This window comes from Homo sapiens, chromosome 12, assembly GCF_000001405.40.
Source record: "Homo sapiens chromosome 12, GRCh38.p14 Primary Assembly".
NCBI classification, from domain to species: domain Eukaryota; kingdom Metazoa; phylum Chordata; class Mammalia; order Primates; family Hominidae; genus Homo; species Homo sapiens.
This window is the reverse complement of record NC_000012.12, coordinates 109,097,306-109,114,124: the sequence shown is the minus strand read 5'-3', so window position 1 is coordinate 109,114,124 and position 16,819 is coordinate 109,097,306. Positions and strand designations below refer to the sequence as shown.

At 47.5% G+C, this 16,819-nt stretch overlaps 2 protein-coding genes across 12 annotated transcripts in view, besides 2 other annotated features; both read right to left on the bottom strand.

The window, feature by feature from the left end:
• The window catches only part of ACACB (acetyl-CoA carboxylase beta), a 157,038-nt gene extending 154,102 nt beyond the window's left edge, over window positions 1-2,936 (bottom strand). For 7 of the 10 annotated variants that reach the window (XR_007063072.1, XM_011538263.4, XM_011538264.4 and 4 more), the window contains exon 1: window positions 710-2,548. Coding sequence is in view for 3 of the 10 variants with exons in the window: in XM_011538264.4 (XP_011536566.1) it covers window positions 710-735 (26 nt within the window). In the remaining 7 variants the exon portion in view is untranslated. Of the gene's footprint in view, window positions 1-709; window positions 2,549-2,652 lie in introns of those variants that run through there. The other 3 variants (XM_047428764.1, NM_001412734.1, NM_001412737.1) reach the window with 3 other exon arrangements.
• Window positions 2,746-3,296: an enhancer, noted in NCBI's record as "H3K4me1 hESC enhancer chr12:109548634-109549184 (GRCh37/hg19 assembly coordinates)". NCBI's record gives its function as "activates a minimal SCP1, AML or CMV promoter by ChIP-STARR-seq in naive H9 embryonic stem cells {active_cell/tissue: H9 hESC(naive)}" and the evidence as "EXISTENCE:reporter gene assay evidence [ECO:0000049][PMID:30033119]".
• UNG (uracil DNA glycosylase) lies at window positions 3,133-16,528 on the bottom strand. 2 transcript variants are annotated; one of them, NM_080911.3, is made up of 7 exons: window positions 16,314-16,528; window positions 15,487-15,693; window positions 14,841-14,936; window positions 12,126-12,223; window positions 11,198-11,286; window positions 10,514-10,692; window positions 3,133-4,296 (listed from the first exon to the last, which is right to left on the bottom strand). In NM_080911.3, exons 1-7 carry the CDS (start codon window positions 16,443-16,445, stop codon window positions 4,156-4,158), a joined length of 942 nt encoding a protein of 313 aa, NP_550433.1. In that variant the 5' UTR covers window positions 16,446-16,528; the 3' UTR covers window positions 3,133-4,155. The 2 variants fall into 2 exon arrangements, with proteins under 2 accessions (NP_550433.1, NP_003353.1); NM_003362.4 differs by lacking the exon at window positions 16,314-16,528 and having other exon boundaries at window positions 15,487-15,953.
• Window positions 15,960-16,349: a silencer, noted in NCBI's record as "silent region_4838". NCBI's record gives its function as "represses an Ori minimal core promoter by ATAC-STARR-seq in GM12878 lymphoblastoid cells {active_cell/tissue: GM12878}" and the evidence as "EXISTENCE:reporter gene assay evidence [ECO:0000049][PMID:35858748]".

The following is a 16,819-nucleotide window of genomic DNA, read 5'->3' as shown; positions in this document are numbered from 1 at the left end:
ACCAGTGGTCCCAGCTGCTCAGGAGGCTGAGGCAGGAGGATCACCTGAACCCAGGAAGTTGAGGCTGCAGTGAGCCATGACTGAGTCACTGTACTCCATCTTAAGAAACAGAGTGAGACTCTATCGCAAAAAAAAGAAAAAAAAATTGGTTCCCATTGACTTAAACTACAAAGGAACTTCCTGTTGTCAGACCCAAATTACAGTGTCAGAAGGACTCTAAACAAGGAGGCCATCTCCAGCAGAGGAATGTTCTAGCTTTCCTCAGCTTGAGTCAGCACAAGTCAGCATGTGAGGTCTTTTCAAAGTAACCCAGAGCACCTCCCTGCAACCTGTTTTTCCTTGCAAATCTTGAAGGTTTGGCAAGGATGAAAAGCCAACACCACACGCATACGCCAAAAAGTTTGCTTCTCCACCAAACATACTTGCGAAGACTTTTATATGAGAAGCAAACTGAAGCAGAAAGTGAATTTGAACAGAGATGTATTATCTAATAATGCAAGCATACTAGCAACATGCTAAAGTCTATCTTTAAAAAATGCAAACAATTTATAGTCCCTGACCTTCCCCTGCTGGATGTAGATCAAAAGCAGGCAGTGACTTTCACACAATTAATTATTTTATAACTGGACGTTTCCAGTACAACATTTGCTAATAACTGACTTCCTTGTGTTACCAATTCCAAAAGCTGTCAGAGATCTCCCTAACTCACCTGAAAAGGGAGGAAACAGGAATCATTAGGCCAGGTTCTCAGAAGCCTCCCAAACCTTGCCACGTGGAACCATCCAGCTCCACATCCAGCATGTGGGTCCTGCCTTTGCAGAGGCAGGCTCCTCAGTGTTGAATGCTCTTGTTCCTCTTTGTGGCCTGGAAAGTTCAATATCCACTCAGACATTCTCTCCACTGGGAAATGTCTTCTTTCCTGGGCTGACCCAGCCGTTGCTGCCTTTTTGTTCCCACCGCACTGACAGTGAGTACACACAGGGGTCTGCAGACTGTGGTTCCAGATGCCTGTTTTCCAATAGCTCCCAAGCTAGGAGTGGTTTTTACATTTGTTAAATGCTTAGGAAAAAAAAAGATTTCGTGACACATGAAAATCATATTAAAATCTAATTTCAGTGTCCATAAATAATAAAGTTTTATTGGAACACAGCCTCGCCCGTTCCTGTACGTTTTGCCCACGGCTGCTTTCTCTGCAGTGAGTTGTTGAGCAGTTCCCACGGAGAACGGGTAACTGCAAACCCTCAAATATTTACCACCTGACCCTTCACAGAAAGTTTGCCAACCGCTGACCTAAAAGGCTAAGACTGCCTTTTATGCATCTTTGCATACTGAGTGCAGGAATATAGCAGACTTGACACATGAAAAAAGCAACTACCACATAGCTAAGAGTTCATCAAAATGAGTTGCCTGGTTGGTTTTTTTTTTTTTTTTTTTTTGAGACGGAGTTTTGCTCTTATGCTCTTGTTGCCCAGTCTGGAGTGCAATGGTGCGATCGCCCGGGTTCAAGTGATTCTCCTGCCTCAGCCTCCCAAGTAGCTGGGATTACAGGCATGTGCCACCACGCCTGGCTAATTTTGTATTTTTAGTGGAGACAGGGTTTCTCCATGCTGGTCAGGCTGGTCTTGAACTCCCGACCTCAGGTGATCCACCCACCTCGGCCACCCAAAGTGCTGGGATTACAGGCGTGAGCCCCCACACCTGGCTGAGTTGCCTAGTTTCTAAAGAATCAGTAATTAAATTTTTGGAGGGTCATGGACCCAGAAGCTGCTCTGTGTACTGTTTAAAGTGTCACCACATGACTAAAGTTCAATATATACACATATATATTGAATATATATACATATATACATACATATATATTGAATATACATACATATATATTGAACTTATATACATATATATTCAATATACGTATATTGAACTTTTGTATATATTATATAGAAATGTATGTATATATATTTAAAATATACATTTTATATTTTAAAATATAAAATAATTGTGTTTTGAATTATTCCTGGAAACTTGGAGCTCACTGCTCCCCCTACCGGCAGTGCTGCACCGGGAGAGAGAGAAGTGTGAAAAGCTAACTGGTGTAAGCACAATTATCCCTTCACTTCTTCCTTGGCTAAGGGAGTCCACTGTTGTTTAGAGGAAGATCCCAAAGTTACCAGAGGGCAAATCGACCATGCATCCTCCTCCCGTGAAAGCCAGCTTGCTGACCACAAAATGTAGAATGATAAACCCTTCCCTACATAGATAAGGAAAGGAAGCAGTATTTTCAAGCAAACTCTGGTCTCCCTCCCTGCCCTTTTAAGAAATGCATTTGCTAGTCTCGAGGTTCTGGCTGGATGCATTCTTTCTTGCCCATTTAGTTAAAAGTTTCTCTACTAAAAGTACAAAAATTAGCCGGGCGTGGTAGTGCATGCTCGTAATCCCAGCTACTTGGGAGGCTGAGGTGGGAGGATTGCTTGACCCCTGGAGGCAGAGGTTGCAGTGAGCCGAGATCGCGCCACTGTACTTCAGCCTGAGCGACAGAGTGAGACTCGCTCAAAAAAAAAAAAAGAAAAAGAAAGAAAGAAAAAAAAACACAATTGTGGCTTCTTTCTTCGGACACTGGGGGATCCCACAGATCATCCTGACAGCCCCCACTACCTGAGCCTGGGCTGCGGGCCAGTGCGTCATCAGGGAGTCTTCCTGGAGCCCTGGCCTCACTTCCGAGTTCCAGATGTCTCGGAGTCTAGAAACACTGGCTGAGCGGGGGATGCAGGCGGCTCCCCTCCAACGTCACAGGGCTTGGCAGAACGTAGCCACGACGGGCACGCCATGTTCCCCGAAGAAATGCCTTCCTCAGGCCGTTAGTTACCCCTCTGGGGTCTCAGCTGGCAGCCGGTGCTCCACGGTGCTCGGAGTTGGGGCGCTGCTCCAGGCCGGGGGTTGGGCCCAGCGCTCACCGCAGCCAGGGGAGGGTTGGGCCGTTCCACTGAGCGGCAGGGCGGGGAGGAGGGGCAAGGGCGGCCCCTCCTGCAGACGGTGGTTGCTATGGGAACCCTGGGAGGCGCCAAGGGAAAGGGCAGCCCAAGGACGTCCATGGATGCCCTGGCCTGGACGCACAAAGGACACTTGCACAAAACAAACTTTTAACAAACTTTTATTAACAAACCTCGCGTAGAGCCAACTCTAACCCGACTAACAGCAAAAACAGCATTGCTAACAAGATCAAGGATGGAGGTGCAGACCCAATAAAGACCGTCTCTTAAAAAAAGGACTGGGAAAAATATATATATATATATCTGCATGAGTACTTCTTAAAAAACTAAAACTTTCCAGTGTTGCAGGAAAAAATATCCCAAAGTGATTTCAGTCGGTTAAAAAAAACAGTACTTGGCAGTCTGTGCTGCCTTAAAAACCCCAACTGGACATAACCCTAGGAGAAAATCACCCCACCCCATAAAGACAAAATTCCCTTTTCTCCTCTTCCTTGTTCAAATTCCACTGCTTATTCCACCAACACCCAAGGAATAACAAGACCCAGCTTACTTCTCTCGGTCTCTTATCTGATAAAGCTCACAGCAATCTTAACCTCTACTACAATCAGGAAATTGAGCCCTAATTTCTGGGCCAGATTCTGGAAAGTTGCAAAACATCCTTATGCTGCGAGGGGCCTGAGGACTCCTTCAAAGATCAAGGGGGCAGTGGAACTGGCAGAGACTGGCATGCCTGCCCTGCAAGGCTGAGACAAGGGGACCTTTCTAAGCAAAAACACCCCAACATCTGTCACTGAAAGTCTAACCAGGCAAAACCAAGGAGCAGCAGGCGCCAAACTAGGGCTGTGCCTGAAAGGTGCACATCTCCCCTGTTTCACCATAAAGGCAAGGGAGATAAAGAGAGCCAACTGAGTATTTGACCTCATCTGTCTTCTGCATATTTTAGGCCGAAGCCATGTTGCAGAGAAAGACATTTGGTCAAAGGGTAGCCTTTGTTGTTTGTGGTTGGATACAGCTGCCATTCCTGGACAGCCTGGTTCATGGCTGCTTTCTGGAAGCTTTTCCCCCTTATGCAGAGTACTTAAGAATTAATAGGAAAATTTTCAGTGGAACTTCGTAACTGGCAAATACGTTAACAGCAGCTTCTCAAAGGCCACCCCTCAGCTGATGATCACAGCTCCTTCCAGTCAATGGGCTTCTTGCCAGACTTCTGCAGCAGCTCATTGGTCTTTGAAAAGTGTCTACATCCAAAGAACCCTCTATACACTGACAAAGGGGAGGGATGAGCCGTCTGTAGTACATGGTGCCGCTTCTGAAAAAGATCAAGAATAAATGGTGGCAGATTTGGGACTTTTTAAATTTTTTTTTTTTTTTTTTGAGACAGAGTCTTGCTGCAGTGGCGTGATCTCGACTCACTGCAACCTCCGCCTCCCGGGTTCAAGCGATTCTCCTGCCTCAGCTTCCCAAGTAGCTGGGACTACAGGCGCGTGCCACCACACCCAGCTAATTTTTGTATTTTTAGTAGAGATGGGGTTTCATCATATTGGCCAGGATGGTCTCGATCTCTTGACCTCGTGATCCGCTCGCCTTGGCCTCCCCAAAGTGCTGGGATTACAGGCGTGAACCACCATGCCCGGCCGGGACTTTTTTTTTTTTTCCCCAAAAAGGAAGGACTGTGGCTGTTGCACTTTAAGACCCTGTGCGATTCCCCTTTGCCCTCTAAATTCTCCCCCTTCCAAAGTGGAGCATTCAGCATTTGCATTAGAACATTAGTCCGTTTGTTGAGCAACTACCTACCTTTGCTAGGCTCTGAGATGCAAAGAGCACCACCCTCTGCCTTCAAGTTGGCAATTATCTATGCAATTTTCAAGTGTCCCTATCATACTGCCAGCAATTTCCACTGCTAAGACTGTATTTGCTAAAGGACACCATGATGCATACACACACAGATAAACTCCTCAACTTATTAACACAATGGATGGGGTTAACATCTTGGAAAACCCATCCTAAGTAGAAAATATCCTAAGTTGAAGATATATTTATGACATATAACCTGCTGAACATCATAGCTTAACCTACCCTACCTTAAACATGCTCAGAACACCTACATTAGCCTACAGCTGGGCAAAACAAAGCTTCTTTTACAATGAAGTGTTTAGTACCTCATGTAACTCATTGAACACTGTACTGAAAGTGAAAAATAGAACGGGGCCAGTCACGGTGGCTTACACCTGTAATCCCAGTGCTTTGGGAGGCCAAGGTAGGACAACTGCATGGGACCAAGAGTTTACAACCAACTGAGGCAACATAGCGAGACCCCATCTCTACAAAAAAATTAAAAAGTTAGCCAAGTGTGATGGCATGCACCTGCAGTCCTAGCTACACAGAAGACTGAGGTGGCAGGATCACTTGAGCCCAGGAGTTCGAGGCTGCAAAAAGCTATAATTGTGCCACTGCACTCCAGCCTGGGTGACAGAGCAAGATCTTTTTTTTTAATTTTTTATTTTTTGAGATGGGGTCTTACTCTGTCACCCAGGCTAGAGTGTAGTGGCATGACTGTGGCCCACTGTAGCCTCCACCTCCTAGGCTCAAGTTACTCTCCCACCTCAGCCTCCTGAGTACCTGGGACCACAGGTGCGTGCCACTACACCAGGCTAATTTTTTGTGTTTTTTAGAGACAAGGTCTCACTATGTTGCCCAGGCTGTTCTCAAACCCCTGAGCTCAAGTGATCCGCCACCCTGGCCTCTCAAAGTGTTGGGATTACAGGCGTGAGCCACTGCTCCCAGCCAAGAGACCCTGTCTCTTAAAGAAAGAAAAAAAAACAACGTGTGAGTGCTCAAAGTATGGTTATACACCATTGTAAAGTCGAAAAAAATCAGGTCAAACTTCATAAGCCAGGGACCAGTTGTACCTACACAAATAGGTACATATAAAGGGACTGACACACTGCTTATGTCAGCTAAAACCTAGTATACAATTCAGTGTTACAGAACTGGCTAAATGTATTTTTCTAAAGTTCTTACAATGTAAAACCACATAACTCCTAGAAAAACATGCGAAAGATAAATATACTGATGAGATGACCTCCAAAATTTACCAAGTGAACAAAATGCAAAATAATTTCATTTTTTAAAAACTTTAGAAAAATACCCAAGACACTGTATTTAGTAGTTCCTTTAAGAGAAAGAGTGGAAGCCATTTACTTTCCATTTTGTGCCTTTCTGAACTCTCTGAATAGTCTTACAGCTCCTAAGAAGGAAGAATTAAAAAACAAAAACAAAAACAAAAAAATCTCGCCACAAAAATGGAATAGTTGGCCGGGCGTGGTGGCTCACACCTGTAATCCCAGCACTTTGGGAGGCTGAGGTAGGTGGATCACCTGAGGTCAGGAGTTCAAGACCAGCCTGACCAACATGAAGAAACTCCGTCTCTACTAAAAATACAAAATTAGCTGGATGTGGTGGTACATGCCTGTAATCCCAGCTACTCAGGAGGCTGAGGCAGGAGAATCACTTGAACCCAGGAGGGGGAGGCTGCAGTGAACTGAGATCACGCCATTGCACTCCAGCCTGGGCAACAAGAGTGAAACTGTCTCAGAAAAAAAAAAAAAAAAAAAAAAAAGAGGAATAGTCAGTGGCCAGGTGTGGTAGCTCACGCCTGTAATCCCAGCACTTTGGGAGGCCGAGGCAGGAGGATCGTTTAAGTCCAGGAGTTCAAGAGCCAGCCTGGGCAACGTGGTGAAACCCTGTCTCCACAAAAAAAAATACAAAAATTAGCCAGGTGTGGTGGCGCACGCCTGTGGTCCCTGCTACTCAGGTGACTAAGGTGGGAGGATTGCTTGAGCCTGGGAGGTTGAGGCCGCAGTGAGTTGAGATCAAGCCAGTGCATTCCAGCCTGGGTGACAGAGCTAGACCCTGTTTCAAAAGAAAAAAAGCAATAGTCATACATCACCTAATGACAGGGATGCATTCTGAGAAGTGTGTTGTTAGGCAATTTCACTGCTATCCGTACACCACAGGGCATCTTTACACAAACCCAAATGGGATAACCTACCACTACACACCTAGGCTATATAGTGTAGCTTATTGCTCCTGGTCTACAAACCTGTGTAGCATGTTACTGTACTAAATACTATAGGCAACTGTGACACAATGGTAGGCATTTGTGTATCTAAACATAGAAAAGATGCAGTAAAAATATTTTTTATATATATATATATACACATATATATATACGTATATATATATGTGTATATATATATATGTTTTTTTTTTGAGATAGAGTCTCACTCTGTTGCCAGGCTGGAGTGCAGTGGCATGATCTCAGCTAACTGCAACCTCTGCCTCCCAAGTAGCTGGGACTACAGGCACACGCCGCCACACCTGGCTAATTTTTTGTATTTTAGTAGAGACAGGGTTTCACTATGTTGCCCAGGCTGGTCTCAAACTCCTGAGCTCAGACAATCCACTCGCCTCGGCCACCCAAAGTGCTGGGATAACAGGTATGAGCCACCACACCCGGCCAGAATATTATAATCTTATGGGACCATCGTCATATATACAGTTTATGACTGAAACATCATTATGTGGCAAATGACTACTTTGATTTTTTTAAAATATCAACTATAGTTATTTTAACAGGGAGATATAGACCATTTTTGTTTTCCTCTTCTTTTCTGTATATAAAAACTAACGAACAAATCACTGTTTCTCAAAACACTCTTGCCTTCAAGGGGCTCAGTCCAGGAGGGGCGATGAGGGGTGAGGACTAAAGCCAGGCAATCCAGTGTGGTTAAGAGTACAGAGCCTGGAGCCAGACTGCCCGGGGTCGAGGCCTACCTCTACCCTCAGTAGCTGTACCACAGAGAAGTTGCTGCAACTCTAAGCTGCTTCAGTTTTCATCTGTAGACTGGGAATAACAATACCGCCCAGCTTATGAAGTTACTGTGACCAATCAAATGAGGATCACAGGGGCTGAGTGTGATAAGAAGTCATGCACACCAAATGCTGAACACACACGCAAGCAGCACAGGCCCCTGTAAATGTCAGCCCTGCAGAGCTCTAAAGAATCCCAGAAGAAAATGACCTCTACACTGTAGGCAGAGAAAGCAGGATATGCAAAGGCAGGGAAGTGGGGCACCGTGAAAAAGTAAAGGGGAATGGGTCAGCCTAGGGATCGGAGTGCAAAGAGGGATAGAGTTAAGTCTGGGAGGCCGATTGGGGGCCACCCCTCTACCCCCCTGAAATCAGATCTTCAGCCTAAGGCAAGGCCTTCCAGGGAGAAAGCATCAGAACCCTCCAGGCAAGATCAGGTGAGGGCCTGAATGAAGGCAAAGGTGGTCAGGCAGGGGTAGATTTGGAGGGGGAAGAAAGAACACAGATATGAATGACTGACTGACTGGGAAGGTGGAAAAAAAGGACAGAAGAGGGGAGAAAGAGAGGTAGGCAGGTGTCAGTAATAGATCTGGCTGGACAACTGGGCAGATGATGGTGCTTTTTGCTGCTAGGGAGTGCAGAGGAGGAAGTTTAGTGAAGCATGGATGAGAAAAGGAGAAACTTCGTTTGGAAAATGTTGAATTTGGCATGTTCATGGGGCAGTAGTAACAAGGCACTCTATAGATCAGAAGAGACACTGGGCTGGAGATATGCAATTTGGCTTTAATGACCAAGCTACTTTAACAACTGTTTACTTTCAGACCAAACCATGATTAAAGATTACCAATATACTGCGGAAGAGCAACACTGGCCGTAAACCTCCCTAAGGGATAGAGATTAGCAATTACTCTCACGCACACTTCTTACATACCTAGATGATCACATCTTAGCAGTTCATACCAGTCAGATCTTAGGTCACTCATACAAGTGTATGCCTACCTCAAAGCCTTTCTGAGAGTTAAGTAAGATTCTGCATGCAAAGTACTCAACCTGGTCGGGTGCGGTGGCTTACATCTGTAATCCTAGCACTTTGGGAGACCAAGATGGGAGGATCGCTTGAGGTCAGGAGTTCAAGACCAGCCTTGTCAACATGGTGAAACCCAGTCTCTACTAAAAATAAAAAATATTAGCTGGGTGTGGTGGCAGGCAACTGTAATCCTAGCTACTCAGGAGGCTGAGGCAGGAGAAGTGCTTGAACCCAGGAGGCGAAGTTGCAGTGAGCCGAGATCATGCCACTGCACTCCAGCCTGGGTGACAGAAAGACTCCATCTCAAAAAACAAAAGTGCTCAACCTAGTACCCACACAAGGTAGGGGTTAAATATACGTGCACATTTCTGATACCCCCGTTACCTCCTGCTGATACACCAAAAACTATTGTCAGGTTACCTCTGCTAAGCCCTTGCCTTCGATCATTGAAGCATTTACTCTATAATTTCTCCCCCACCCAATGTCTCTCCCATTTGCCAGGGATGAACACACCCCTGGCTCGTCTCCTTCCCACCCCCTATCTCTCCCTCCTCCACTCTGCGGCTCTCCATCAAGCCTCCATCTCTAGTCCATCACGGTTCTCCTGGAGAAAGATGATGGTGACTCATGCCTGAAGGGCAGCAGTGGCGAATGAGAAGCAGTAGACTGGGGTGTTTTGGGAGGCAGAGTTGATGGGATTTACTGATGGGATGGAGGATTCAAGGATGACTTTTAGGTCTCTGATTTCCACAACCAGGTGTAGAAGTGCTTCAGTGAGTGAAGGGAAAGAGGGAGGTAGCAGATAGGGGGAAGATGTAGGGAGGGGAGCCACTGGTTTGGTCGTGTTGGGTATCTGCAATTAGACCTTGGGGTTAATAATGATCACCGATAGGCCGGGTGTGGTGGCTCATGCCTGTAATCCTAGCACTTTGGAGGTTGAGGAGGACAGATCGCTTGAGGTCAGGAGTTCAAAACCAGCCTGGCCAACATGGTGAAACCCTGTCTCTACTAAAAAATAAAAAAAAATCAGCCGGGTGTGGTGGCGGGCGCCTGTAGTCCCAGCTACTCGGGAGGCTGAGGCAGAATCACTTAAACCCAGCAGGCGGAGGTTGCAGTGAGCCAAAATCATACCACTGCACTACAGCCTGGGCAACAGAGCGAGACTCCATCAAAAAACAAAAAACCCAGAAACAAAACAATAATGATCACTGATAGTATTTTCATGGGCAAGTTAAATTTGTGATTGAGTGGAATTCTTTGTGTTTTCTATATGTTCCCAAATTTCTTGGAAGCCAGAAACATGCCTCATCCATCACTTGTTAAGTGAATGGTACCCAGGGACTTGTATCTTGTAGACACCAAGTTCATGCCTACAGCACCAACTGCATTCAGTCACAAGTTGGCCAGTTGCTTTGCTTTCCTCATACACAACTCATCACCCCTATAATTTGTCCAAATTCTTCTCAGTTTTCAATGGGAAACCCTTATAACAGGCCTAAGGGAAAATAAAAGTTATTTTATAACATGGATTTTCCAGGACCAAACACAGCAGGGACTCCTAGAATTCTTTACATTGTTTTTATAGTGTTAAAAAAAAAAGAAAAAAAAGAAAGAAAACAAAACATACCCTATCAATGGCACTGCCCTTCTTCTGAGCATAAGAGCCCCAGAGCAAGAAAACAAGGCCATTCGAGTTCTGATTTAGCCAGGACACAACTGCATCAGTGAACTGCTCCCAGCCTCGCTCCTTATGAGAGTTGGCTTGATGGGCACGAACCGTGAGGACAGCGTTGAGAAGGAGAACACCTATACACATGAGAGAAACAGGTTAAATGTAGGCTCAGGCAAATCAGCCCAATACCCAGCAACAGGAGCTAAATCCATGATGAAACCAATGCTTGATGGGATCCAGTGTAGCAAGCTGTGCTTCCCTGCTGCAGCCGGCATAATGGCAGCAGCCACTACCATCAACAATGGAGTCGGGGCTGGGCGTGGTGGCTTATGCCTGTAATCCCAGCACTTTGGGAAGCCGAGTCGGGCGGATCACCTGAGGTCAGGAGTTCGAGACCAGCCTGGCCAACATGGTGAAACCCTGTCTCTACTAAAAATACATTAAAAAATTAGCCAGCTATGGTGGCTCATGCCTGTGGTCCCAGCTACTCAGGAGGCTGAGGCATGAGAATCGCCTGAACCTGGGAGGCAGAGGTTGCAGTAAGCTGAGATTGCACCACTGCACTCTAGCCTGGGCAACAGAGTGAGACTCGGTCTCAAAAAAAAAAAAAAAAAAAAAATCTAGCAGTCGCTGGCTTACCTTGCTTGGCCCACCCAGATAAATCTCCATGGCCAGGATGAACAAAATCCTCTATGTCTGTAGACAACTCTTTATAAATGTTCTCCAAACTGAAAGCAAGCCACAAGAAAAACAAAAAACAGAATCTTAAGCATAATTTTGAAAGCTCAGTAACGTCTAAGACATATGTGAAAAGGTTAGAAGTTACAGCCAGCCCTTGGAAGGGACACTGGCACATATGGCGCCGATTAATGAGATCAACACTGCCAGTCCTCCTTCTAACAGGTGACTCTGCCAAAGACCTTTACTTTAGTCTGTACTTGGATTTAACAGCACTCTGGAAAACCTAAGTAAATCAACCCAGCAGTTACAACCCAGACCCCCACTGTTGCTCAGGGACAGTTTTCTGTCCTTAGCATATTTATGTATATCATACACCAAATCCTCCAAAAGCAGTGGTTCTTTTTTTTTTTTTTCCAGTCTTGCTGTGTCACCCAGGCTAGAGTGCAGTAGCAGGATCTCGGCTCACTGCCACCTCCGCCTCCCGGGATCCAGCGATTCTCCTGCCTCAGCCTCCCAAAGTGCTGGGATTACAGGCGTGAGTCACCGCGCCCGGCCCAAAGCAGTGGTTCTTAACCAGGGGTGATTTTACGCCCCCAAGGGACTTTTGGCAATGTCTGCACATTTTTCATTATCACGAGCTGGGGGTTGCTCCTGGTTTCCAGTGGTAGAGGCCAGGGATGTGGCACAAGATCCTGCAATAGCACAGGACTCCTCTCCTCCTCCACAACAAAGAATGACTCAGCCCCAAATGTCAATGGTGCTGAGGCCGAGAAATCCTCCTCCAAGGCTAGTGAACAGTGCCCCAGATAGTCCCACTTGTAATAAGCTAAGTACACATCTGAAAGGAATCATGTCTGGACTGCAGTCACCTGTAAAGCAACTGTACCTGGGCGGAGGCGGAACAGGCCTTTGAACACTAAAGCAGAGCCCGTGAGCTTGATTAGGTCCATGATATGGATCCTGTCCCAGGATGACAACCTTCACCTGTGAACCACCAGGGGTCAGGAATTAAACAATACTGTAATGTAAGCAGCACAGACCCTGCCTCAAACAAACATAAACAAAACAAATAAAACACTTCTATGGCATAGATTGCTAATAGCAGAGTTGCTGGTCAAAGGCTAAGCGTATTTTAAACTTGTAAAGATATGTACCTAGCTGCTTTTTTAATTTTTTGAGACACGGTTTTGCTGTGTTGCTCAGGCTGATGTGCAGTGGTGCCATCACAGCTCATGGCAGCCTCGCCCTCCTGGGCTCAAGTGGTCCTCCCACCTGAGCCTCCAGAGTAGCTGGGCCCACAGGAGTGCACCACTATGCCCACCTAATTTTTTTTTTACTTTTTGTAGACACACGGCCTCCCTTATGTTGCTGAGGCTGGTCTCAAATTCCTGAGATCAAGGGATCCTCCCTCCTCGGCCTCCCAAAATGCTGGGATTACAGGCATGAGCCACTGTGCCTAGCCCCCAGTTACTTTTCGATGAATTAAAGCAATTTAGGGCCTGGCATGGTGGCTCACGCCTGTAATCCCAGCACTTTGGGAGGCCGAGGTAGGCAGATCACGAGGTCAAGATATCGAAACCATCTGGCCAACATGGTGAAACCCCATCTCTACTAAAAATACAAAAATTAGCTGGGTGTGGTGGCGCACACCTGTAGTCCCAGCTACTCGGGAGGCTGAGGCAGGAGAATCGCTTGAACCCAGGGGGTGGAGGTTGCAGTAAGCCGAGATTGCACCACTGCACTCCATCTCAAAAAAAAAAAAAAAAAAAAAAAAAAAAAGCAATTCAGATTTCCCACCAGCAGCATATGAGGGTGTCTGCTCCCCTATATCCTCTAACAGGTGGAGCCAGAAGAGAATGAGGTCAGATCAAAAGGGCCATGGGAGTAGGTGGCAAGAGACAATGAAATGAAATGAAGTTCCTGTCACGGGAGGTGTTGAAACATAGGCCGCCTCGTCCTTCCCATCCAGGGCCCACCCACCTAGTCTTCATTCTCAAGCTTCTGCCATTGCGTTCTTAGAATCTTCCTCCACAGCTGACATACTCTATCTTTCAGAATCCAGCTCCAGATGTTCCATGACCAGGAGGCTTTTGGGGACCTCTTGTCCCTCCCCTTGGTGTTCACACCATGCCAACATATTCTCTTGTGAAACAACTCTCCCAATGCTGGTCTGTCAAGAAGCCCTGCTGGCCCATCTGATCCTCATAGGTTTGAAACTGGTTTTTGAGCATTCCCTCAAAATATTCCTTTTAATATTCCCTGTTTATACTGATTACTGGTATTCAGAATAGGGCATTCAAACAAGAAGCAAATTAGTATTGATCTTAATAGGATTTAATTTAGCTTCAAAACCAAAGAGCTAGATTCTAAATTCTTACTCTAAAATTAAGCTTACGAGATTTTCTAAGTATTAGGTGTGGCTGCCTTATCAAGATGATTTATTCACCTATTTCACTTCTATGTCATTTCACAGATATTCATTAAATCACAAGATTCTTGCCCCAGTTTACAAAACGGGGGAGGAAAACGGGTAAGAAACCTAAAAGTCCAGTGTCAGCAGGTGCTAAATGCATCGTAGCAGCTCAGAGGAAAACTGGATCACAGAGGTGGCAGGCAACGGACTTCAATTCAAGGAGGTGCCACAGAGGCATCTACTTGATTTTTAAGAGACAGAAGTGGGGAGGGGTTTGCCACACTGTCCAACTCTGGAGTGGGAGAGTGGGAGGTGGAGGTAAGGCTGAGAGGTAGGACGTGGCCCTATTTAAAGAGGGTTGCTCTGCTTTCATAGTTCAACAGTGAGAAGCCACGGTTTTTTTTTTGTTTTGAGACAGGGTCTGGCTCTGTCGCCCACGCTGGAGTGAAGTGGTGTGATCTCAGCTCACTGCAACCTCCGCCTCCTGGGCTCATGCGATTCTCCCACCTCAGCCTCCCAAGTAGCTGGAATTACAGGCGTGCGCCACCATGCCCGGCTAATTTTTGTATTTTAGGAGAGACCAGGTTTCATTGGTCTTGAACTCCTGACCTCAAATGATCCTCCCACTTTGGCCTCCGAAAGTGCTGGGATTACAGGCATGAGCCACCGTGCCCAGCCCCACGAACTTCTGAACACAAGATGGATGAGAGCCGCCAACCAGCAACTGTTATATAAGACAAACTAAAGCAAAGGGATCTGATAACAGAACCACAAAACTGTTCAGGCCAGAAGTCAAGAGCTTGAAAGTGCTAACTATAAGGCAGTGTGGTCAGGTCAAGGTGGGGTTGACTATAACAAGCTGCAAAAGATTTAACTGCTTTGTGTGTCAGTTTGAACTTCACCACCACCATAACATCTGACACCGCGGGAGGTTAGTTTCAGGATTTAAAAAAAATACAAGAAATAAGAGCACAGGATGTACATAGTTTTCCTTTTTGCCACATAAATACCACGTGGTAAACATTAAAAAGAGTAAATACAGGCTGAAATACAGTCAGCCAAACCTCGGGATTTCAGTGTTTTATTTACTACTGAATGATGGACTGTGGCTTAACTCCAGTGTCCCTAATTTAAAAATACTATTTGACTCCTTCTCCCCAATAAAAATTATCAACAAGTTGTACTTACATCTTTTATGTCACACATCTGGGTCCAGGTGAAGACTTGGTGTGGGGGTGGATAAACAGTGTAATGCTTTCTTTCTTCTGCAACAAATCCCATTAGCTGATTTAAAGATAAACTAGACTTAAAATCAGATTCTCATTGGAAACCATAAGAATTCAATAAGAAAGCTTCTAGTGCAAGTTATTTGGAACATCATTAGTTCTTTGTCATGTTATGTCCAAATTCTTTTAAAAAACAACAAACAAAAACAGTGCCTGCCCCCCCACCTAAGTGGTTCAATCAGGTCAATTCCTTGCCTCTTTCTCTGGGCTGGGTCCTGACAGTGCCACTCCTCTCGGCTTTTTAAAGCTCAAGCCAGGTTTCATTCAGGATGGTTGGTGATTTTACTACGCCAGCCTTTCCTGGACAATAGACTATGTGACTTAAATGAATCCATGATATCATCTCGCGGGTCGTTAACAACTTTAACCAATATAAAGCTGCAGAGTGAAACATCATGGCTTTCTTTTACCCCCTTTGTGAGTAAAGGAGGTTGAAGGGGGTACAACCTAAGCCTACGGAAACATGAACTTGGCCGGCTACACTAACAAGACAAAAGGGCCGGCAGCCTCCACATTTACCCTTATGGAAGGTGCATTTCCATATTTACCTTGATAAAATACGGTTTCCCGAACTCCCCGCTGAGGTGCTTCTTCCAGCTCTCTCCAAAGCCCACGGGCACGTTGCGGGCCGCGAGTCTGAGCAGGGCCGCGGCCTTGTTCCTCTGGATCCGGTCCAACTGCTCGGCACTCAGCGGCGAGGAGGGCGGCGTCCCAGGCTCCTCCTGCCCAGCCGGGGCCTTCTTGGCTGGGATGGCCTGCAAGTGGTCCCCGCAGAGGCGGCTCAAGAGCTGCAGCGGCCCCTTCCCAGGCGTCCGCAGCTTCCGGCCCAACCCCCACGGCCCAAGGCAGAAGACGCCCATTTGTGGAACAGGTCCCAGCAAAAGCGGACAGTAAGAGCCCAGGGCTGGGCCCGGTCCGGGAATTGGGAATTAGGTTCTAAACTGGAGCGGGGAGACGGGCTGGGAGGCGCCCTATGGCTTCCCGAGGAGCGTCGCGGTGACTGGGAACCCTGCACAGAGGTGCCCCGCCCCCGCCAGACCCGCCCCACCGCGTCCCCACGTGGTCTTTTCGCGGCAAAAAACCTCCCTCTGGGTCCCGCCCCCTCTCCCCTCTGATTGGACAGCGCACCGAGCCAGGAGGGCCTGCGGCGCGCGGATTGGCGCCATGGGCCCCGAGACGCGTTCCCATTGGCTGGCCCTTTAGCATGGCGGCCCATGGGGGACAGCGGCGGCTATTTTGAACACGTGGAGGCTATTTGGAAAGCGGAGCCCGGGTTTACCGAGTCAGAGGCGCGATCCTGCACGCCCTCCGTCAGGCGGGGCCCACCGCCTTCCTCCCCCTTCACCCCCTAGCCCCGGCCCAAGCCGCGCCTCACCGCCGCATCTCCGCTTTCCTCAGGCACCCCAGCCACGCCGGTCCCCTGGACGGCCGGCTCGGGGCTGGGGGCGTGTCGCTTCCTGGCGGGGCTGGGGGAGAAAAAGGAGTAGAGCGTCTTCTGGCCGATCATCCTGGAGCTGAGGAGGCAGCGAACGCGCGCCACCCGGGAACCGGCGAGGCTAGCCCTGGCTGTGGCTGTGGCGGTCAGCAATTGGCGCCAAGCGGCCCGCGCATGCTCCGAGCGGGGGGCTTTGCTGGGGGCGGGGGGCGGTGGAAGGCCCAGTGCGCATGTGCGGGAGGGGCTGGAGTGCAACGCCCCTGGGAGGAGGTGGGGCGTGCAACGGTGCCCGGGGGCCTATTCTTTCATTCGCTTTGTGCCTTCAGCCCACCTCTGCTCTTTGGACAGGCTCTTAAGGCTCAGCTGCAAGAAGAGAAGACTGGTCAGGCGCGGTGGCCCACGCCTGTAATCCTAGCGCTTTGGGAGGCCCAGGCTGGAGGATCGCT